The 8,478-nt window shown below is 36.9% G+C and overlaps 1 long non-coding RNA gene across 1 annotated transcript in view; it reads left to right on the top strand.

Annotated features, from left to right (window-relative positions):
* Positions 1 to 1,299: 1,299 nt before the first annotated feature.
* The window catches only part of LOC105371604 (uncharacterized), a 28,428-nt gene continuing 21,249 nt past the window's right edge, over positions 1,300 to 8,478 (top strand). Inside the window, exon 1 of the long non-coding RNA XR_922259.3 lies at positions 1,300 to 1,413. This is a non-coding gene — a long non-coding RNA (uncharacterized LOC105371604). The remainder of the gene's footprint in view (positions 1,414 to 8,478) is intronic.

The following is an 8,478-nucleotide window of genomic DNA, read 5'->3' as shown; positions in this document are numbered from 1 at the left end:
TTAGTCTACTGATTCAAATACTAATCTCTTCTGCAACATCTTGTACAGTCCTCTATATGACAACATAAAGATACTGGCTCACAAAATTGATTTATTTGACTGTGAAATCTAATAGAAAAAAATACTTAATATTGAATCATGAATAAAGTGCACACTTTATGGTTTTGTTTATAAAAGTATGTAGCAAACCCCTTTTAATGAGGAAGCTAATTCAAGCCAACTAAGCTTACAAAACTCAATTTATAAAACCAGGATATTGATGTGTTAATTTAAAATAGAACTATACTAAGTGAACTAGATGCTGGCATCCTCATGACCATTCCTCTCTTTTTTTCTAGAAAAGCCTCAAGGAAACCAAATTTTTAAGAGGTTACTTGAGGTCTACTCTGGGTCCCAACAGAAGGAAAATATGGAACACAGGGCTCTAGGTAAGATACTTGCTATAGTATGTGAAGGACACATACTATATAAACAAGAAACAAATCATGATGAGTAATCCATGGAGATTTTGCAGTTGATTTTCACTATAATGAAACTTTGCCTAGCCTAACTAGTAAAATGGCATTGCATATTTTACTTGTGATATTTAGGTATGTCTCACAGCAATTTTATTTAATTTTTCAAAGTTTTTGGCAAACACTTTACTGTTGTTTGTCTCCAACAACAATGATCTATGAAGTCATAAATAAATAAATTCTATATATGTAGAATGAAGCTTCATGTTCATTAAGCTAAAAGATACTTACCCAGTTAACCCTAGCTCTGTATATATACCCTGAACTGCCACAAAAAAAAACTGCCATTACTTCAAGCACTTCCATCTAATAATTTTTGCTAAATAATTTGAAAATTTCAGACAGAGCTTATTTATCATATTCTTCTATCAAAGAACTAAGGAAGGACTGGTATTGTACCCAATAAGTGTTTTGTTTGTCTTTTTGTTGTTGTTGTTGTTAGAGAACTCTATAAAGCGTTTACATTAGTTCCTCCTATTTTGTACATGACATAGTTCTCCTTCCCCTCTAGCCCTCAGGCTTGACCATCAACTCAGGCCCTCTAACATTACAGAAGGTATCCCATATCTGATCATATCAAGATTCAGCTTCCCATGATTACAGAAGATATCCCATATCTGATCATATCAAGATTCAGCTTCCCATGAAGGAAAACTCTATGTGTGTGGAGATAAGAAAGATAACTTGAATTTCTTTTTCCCTTCCTCTTCCTCTGCTGGAAGTTCAGCAACACCATCTTGTTCTCTTCTGTCTCTTTTTGTGGAAGAAAAGAGAATGGGGAAGACACCTTGAAGGGAACTTTCCATGTCAAAGACTCTAACTTGCTGGGATTGAGTCACTCTTCAAGAACATACAAAGGCAGGATATGCAGACATTTTGGAAAAAGTACTTGAGACCTGTAGGTACCATAGACACATTATATCTCATTTTTAGAGACTGGAAATTCATAAGTCATAAATATAAACAAGATATACATTATCTTCAATGCATCATTTTCAATGTCATTATATTCAAAATCACAATTATATAAAGGAAATTGGCTGCTGCTTCTAGCTTCTGCTTTTCTTTGATAAGTTCCTTTGAGGACACTTACTTAGAAGCTCCAAAAATTAAGGCTATAAATAGCAATCAGTCACTGCAGAAGAGAGGACTACTCAGCTTAAGGCATTGGGAATGTTGCCACCACGTTACCAAGTCCTTCTCCTCAGTGTCTCTGGTTAGCACCTAGCCAATATTGGCAGCATGCAAGAGGCACATCCCCTCCTTTGTCCTATTACCATCTTATGGCCTTTAAGAGATGTGTTGAGAGTTATTTAAAACCTTTACAAGGGATTTATAGACTGAACACTGCTGTTTCATGAGTATAATGCAAATATAGTGTTAGAATGGGCCAAGGATCCAGAAAATCTTTCAAGGCAACTTTACAATTATCTAGACTAGTCTCTTAGCCAAAGAGAAATCTGTTCCATGGTATCCCTGGCAAGAAATATGTTAAAGGAATGGGATCTTATACACAATATTTAATCACTGTGATGGCCATAATTTACTGAGTACCAGGAATCACCAGGGAATGTGTCCTCACCAAAATCCTATGAGGAAAGTAAGTTTAGTGTCTGTATTTTACAAATAAGTGCCTTGAGGATTAGAAACGCTAAGTAACTTACCAGATATCTCAGAATACTTGAAACTAACTCTGGCATTTTCCAAATTTCATGATCTCTAATTTATATTACTTCTAACAGGTAACCATTAAAGATTATGAAGTAGGGAGTGACATAATAAGCCTTTTAAGAAGATGGCTTTAATAACACAGAAATAAGAGAGTTTATAGAAAGTTAGAGAAAGTCCTAATGTCAAAAAGGGAGAAGAAACAGAACTAAAGCATTATATCAAAGTCTAGATGAGAAATGAAATGGAAAAGAAGGTTTTTGAAGACCAGGCATGGTGGCTTAAGCCTGTAATCCGAGTACTATGGTGGCTCACGCCTGTAATCTCAGCACCTGGGAGGCCAAGACAGGTGGATTGCTTGAGCCCAGGAGTTCAAGACCAGCCTGGGCAAGATAGGGAGACCCTGTCTCTAAAAAAGAAAAAAAGAAAGAGAAAAGATTTTTCACAAAAATCTTAGGATTGCAGTTTAACAATACTTAACGGGAAATATAACTGAAACATATATAATTTATTTTGATAATTCTTAAGCCTTATTTCCCTTTAAACTCATTCCCCTACCTGATGTAAATAGAAATACCTGATATATTTCTCCATAAAGAAGATTCTGTGCTTCTTAGGGTAGGAACTGTATTTTATCATTCTTGCTCTTCATTGTGAAGTCAATGTCTGGCATATACCTAAGTGAGATAGACACTAAAATATAGTTGGTTGAGAAATGATTCAAAGAGTGGCCATTTAGTTCTCTATTGATCTTCAGTTGTCTTATTTTTAAAAAACTTAATTGACACATAATTATTGTACATATTTATGGGGTAAAAAGTGATGTCTCCATACATGTATACCATGGGTAAGATCAAATTAGGGGAATTAGCATATCTATCACCTTAGACATTTCTATTTCTTTATGGTGAAAACATTCAAAATCCTCTCCTAGCTACTTTGAAATATGCAATATATTATTGTTAGCTATTGCTACTCTACTGTGCAACAGAATGCCAGAACTAATTCCTCTTACGTAACTGTACTTTGTACCTACTGAACAACCTCTCTTCATCCTCCCCACTCCCTCTTCCTCCCCAGCTTCTGGTAACCACGATTCTACTCTTTAGTTTTATGAGATCAACTTTTTAGATTCCACATGCAAGTGAGATTATGCAGTATTTGTCTTTTTGCACCTGGCTTATTTCACTTAACATTATGTTCTCCAGGCTAATCCATATTGCTGCAAATTATAGGATTTCATTCTTTTTTTATGGCTAAATATCATTCAACTGTGTAAATACACCACATTTTCTTTTTCCATTTATACAATGATGAACACTTAGCTCAGTTTCCTGTCTTGGGCTATTGCAAATAATGCTGCAATTAACATGGGAGTGCAGATATCTCTTTGACATACAGGCATACCACAGAGATAGTGTGAATTCAGTTCCCAACTGCTACAATAAAGCAAATGTCACAATGAAGTGAGTCACATGGATTTTTTAATTCCGAGTGCATATAAAAGTTATGTTTATACTATAATGTAGTCTAACTGTGCAATTAAATTATGTCTTTTAAAAATGTATATACCTAATTGAAAAATACTTTATTACTAAAAAATGCAAACAGTCATCTTAGCCTTCAGCAAGTTGTCATCTTTTTCCTGGTGAAGCATCTTGCCTTAATGCTGATGGCTGCTGACTGATCAGGGTGGTGATTGCTGAAGGTTGAAATGGCTGTGGTAATTTCTTAAAATAAGATGCAATTAACTATGCCTCATCAGTTGACTCTTCCTTTCCAGCAGAGTTCTATATAACATGTGATGTTGTTTGGTAGCATTTTACCTACAGTAGAACTTCTTTCAAAATTGGAGGCAATCCTCTCAAAATCTGTCACTGCTTTATCAACTAAGTTTATGGACTATTCTACATCTTATGTAGTCATTTCAACAATGTACACAGCATCTTCAGCAGGAGTAGACTCCATCTCAAGAAACTACTTTACTTGCTCATCCATAAGAAGAAACTCCTAATCTGTTCAAGTCTTATAATGAGATTGCAGCAATTCATGAGATTGCAGCAATTCAGTCACATCTTCAGGCTCCACTTCTAGCTCTAGTTCTCTACTTCCACCACATCTGCAGTGACTTCCTCCACTGAGGTCCTGAACTCCTCAAAGTCATCTGAGGGTGGGAATCAACTTCTTCTAAACTCCTGTTAAAGTTGATCTTTTGACCTCCTCTCATTCATCACAAATGTTCATAATGGCATCTAGAACAGTGAATCCTTCCCAGAAAGTTTTCAATTTTCTTTGCCCAGGTCCATCAGAGGAATCACTATTGATGGCAGCTGTAGCCTTATAAAATATATTTCTTAAATAAAATAAGACATGAGAGTTGAAATTACTCCTTCATCCATGGGCTGCCGCATGGATATTATATTAGCAGACATAAAAACAACATTAATCTTTTTGTACGTCTCCATCAGAGCTCTTGACTAGTTGTATTGTCTATGAGCAATAATATATTGAAAAGAATCTTTTTTTCTGAGCAGTAGGTCTCAACAGTGGGCTTCGAATATTCAGCAAAACATGCTGAATACATGATATGCTGTCATCCAAGCTTTGTTGTTCCAGTTATAGAGCACAGACAGAGCACATTTACCATAATTCTTAAGGGCCCTTGAATTTTCAGAATGATAAATAAGCAGCGGCTTCAACTTAAAGTCACAAGTAGCATTAGCCCCTAACAGGAGTGCCCCTCTGTCCTTTGAAGCTTTGAAGCCAGGCATTGACTTCATCTCTCTAGCTATGAAAGTCTTAGATAGCATCTTCTTGTAAAATAAGGATCCAGCATTTCATCTACAATGAAATTGTGTTGTTTAGTATAACCACCTTCATCAGTGATCTTAGCTAGATCTTCTGGATAACTTGCTGCAGCTTCTACATCAGCACTTGCTGCTTCATTTTGCCCTTTTATCTTATAGAGATGGCTGCTTTCTTTAAACCTCATGAATCAATCTCTGCTACATTCAAATTTTTTTCTGCAGCTTTCTCACCTCTGTCCACCTTCATAGAATTGAAGTAAGTTAGGGCCTAGCTCTTGATTGCACTTTGGGTTAAGGGAATGTTGAGGCTCATTTAATCTTCTATCTGGGTCTCTAAAACTTTCTCCGTATCAGCAATAAGACTGTTTTGCTTTCTTGTTATTCATATGTTCATTGGAGTAGCACTGTTAATTTCCTTCAAGAACTTTACCTGTTTATTCACAACTTGGCTAACTGTTTGATGCAAGAGGCCTAGCTTTTGGCCTATCTCAGCTTTCGATAATCATTCCTCACTAAGCTTAATCACTTCTAGCTGTCAATTTAAAATGAAAGACACATGCACTCTCCCAAGACTAAACCAGGAAGAAGTTGTATCTCTGAATAGACCAATAACAGGAGCTGAAATTGTGGCAATGATCAATAGCTTACCAACCAAAAAGAGTCCAGGACCAGATGGATTCACAGCCGAATTCTACCAGAGGTACAAGGAGGAACTGGTACCATTCCTTCTGAAACTATTCCAATCAATAGAAAAAGAGAGAATCCTCCCTAACTCATTTTATGAGGCCAGCATTATCCTGATACCAAAGCCGGGCAGAGACACCACCAAAAAAGAGAATTTTAGACCAATATCCTTGATGAATATTGATGCAAAAATCCTCAATAAAATACTGGCAAACCGAATCCAGCAGCACATCAAAAAGCTTATCCACCATGATCAAGTGGGCTTCATCCCTGGGATGCAAGGCTGGCTCAATATACGCAAATCAATAAATGTAATCCAGCATATAAACAGAACCAAAGACAAAAACCACATGATTATCTCAATAGATGCAGAAAAGGCCTTTGACAAAATTCAATAACACTTCATGCTAAAAACTCTCAATAAATTAGGTATTGATGGGACATATCTCAAAATAATAAGAGCTATCTATGACAAACCCACAGCCAACATCATACTGAATGGGCAAAAACTGGAAGCATTCCCTTTGAAAACTAGCACAAGACAGGGATGCCCACTCTCACCACTCCTATTCAACATAGTGTTGGAAGTTCTGGCCAGGGCAATTAGGCAGGAGAAGGAAATAAAGGGTATTCAAGTAGGAAAAGAGGAAGTCAAATTGTCCCTGTTTGCAGATGACATGATTGTATATCCAGAAAACCCCACTGTCTCAGCCCAAAATCTCCTTAAGCTGATAAGAAACTTCAGCAAAGTCTCAGGATACAAAATCAATGTGCAAAAATCACAAGCATTCTTATACACGAATAACACACAAACAGAGAGCCAAATCATGAGTGAACTCCCATTCACAATTGCTTCAAAGAGAATAAAATACCTAGGAATCCAACTTACAAGGGACGTGAAGGACCTCTTCAAGGAGAACTACAAACCACTGCTCAATGAAATTAAAGAGGATACAAACAAATGGAGGAACATTCCATGCTCATGGGTAGGAAGAATCAATATCGTGAAAATGGCCATACTGCCCAAGGAAATTTATAGATTCAATGCCATCCCCATCAAGCTACCAATGACTTTCTTCACAGAATTGGAAAAAACTACTTTAAAGTTCATATGGAACCAAAAAAGGGCCCTCATTGCCAAGTCAATCCTAAGCCAAAAGAACAAAGCTGAAGGCATCACGCTACCTGACTTCAAACTATACTACAAGGCTACAGTAACCAAAACAGCATGGTACTGGTACCAAAACAGAGATATAGATCAATGGAACAGAACAGAGCCCTCAGAAATAATGCTGCATATCTACAACTATCTGATCTTTGACAAACCTGAGAAAAACAAGAAATGGGGAAAGGATTCCCTATTTAACAAATGGTGCTGGCAAAACTGGCTAGCCATATGTAGAAAGCTGAAACTGGATCCCTTCCTTACACCTTATACAAAAATTAATTTAAGATGGATTAAAGACTTAAATGTTAGACCTAAAACCATAAAAACCCTAGAAGAAAACCTAGGCATTACCATTCAGGACATAGGCATGGGCAAGGACTTCATGTCTAAAACACCAAAAGCAATGGCAACAAAAGCCAAAATTGACAAATGGGATCTAATTAAACTAAAGAGCTTCTGCACAGCAAAAGAAACTACCATCAGAGTAAACAGGCAACCTACAAAATGGGAGAAAATTTTTGCAACCTACTCATCTGACAAAGGCCTAATATCCAGAATCTACAATGAACTCAAACAAATTTACAAGAAGAAAACAAACAACCCCATCAAAAAGTGGGCAAAGGATATGAACAGACACTTCTCAAAAGAAAACATTTATGCAGCCAAAAGACACATGAAAAAATGCTCATTATCACTGGTCATCAGAGAAATGCAAATCAAAACCACAATGAGATACCATCTCACACCAGTTAGAATGGCAATCATTAAAAAGTCAGGAAACAACAGGTGCTGGAGAGGATGTGGAGAAATAGGAACACTTTTACACTGTTGGTGGGACTGTAAACTAGTTCAACCATGGTGGAAGTCAGTATGGCGATTCCTCAGGGATCTAGAACTAGAAATACCATTTGACCCAACCATCCCATTACTGGGTATATACCCAAAGTACTATAAATCATACGTATGTTTATTGCGACACTATTCACAATAGCAAGACTTGGAACCAACCCAAATGTCCAACAATGATAGACTGGATTAAAAAAATGTGGCACATATACACCATGGAATACTATGCAGCCATAAAAAATGATGAGTTCATGTCCTTTGTAGGGACATGGATGAAACTGGAAATCATCATTCTCAGTAAACTATCGCAAGGACAAAAAAACCAAACACCGCATATTCTCACTCATAGATGGGAATTGAACAATGAGAACACATGAACACAGGAAGGGGAACATCACATTCTGGGGACTGTGGTGGGGTGGGGGGAGGGGGGAGGGATAGCATTAGGAGATATACCTAATGCTAAATGACGAGTTAATGGGTGCAGCACACCAGCATGGCACATGTATACATATGTAACTAACCTGCACATTGTGCACATGTACCCTAAAACTTAAAGTATAATAATAAAAAAAAAAAAAGAAAAGAAAGACACAAGACTCTTCTTTCCATTTGAACACTTAGAGATCATTGTAAGGTTAATAATTGGCCTAATTCTAATATTGTTCTGTCTCAGGGGATGAGGCCCGAGGAGTGGGGGACAGGCAGGGGAAGAGCTAATCAATGGAGCAGTCATAATACACACAACAATTAAGGATTAATTTCACTATCTTCTACAGAGGTAGATCAT

The sequence above is a fragment of the Homo sapiens genome, chromosome 1, assembly GCF_000001405.40.
Source record: "Homo sapiens chromosome 1, GRCh38.p14 Primary Assembly".
NCBI classification, from domain to species: Eukaryota; Metazoa; Chordata; class Mammalia; order Primates; family Hominidae; genus Homo; species Homo sapiens.
Note: the sequence above shows the minus strand (reverse complement) of the source record. Positions and strands in the feature narration are given on the sequence as shown.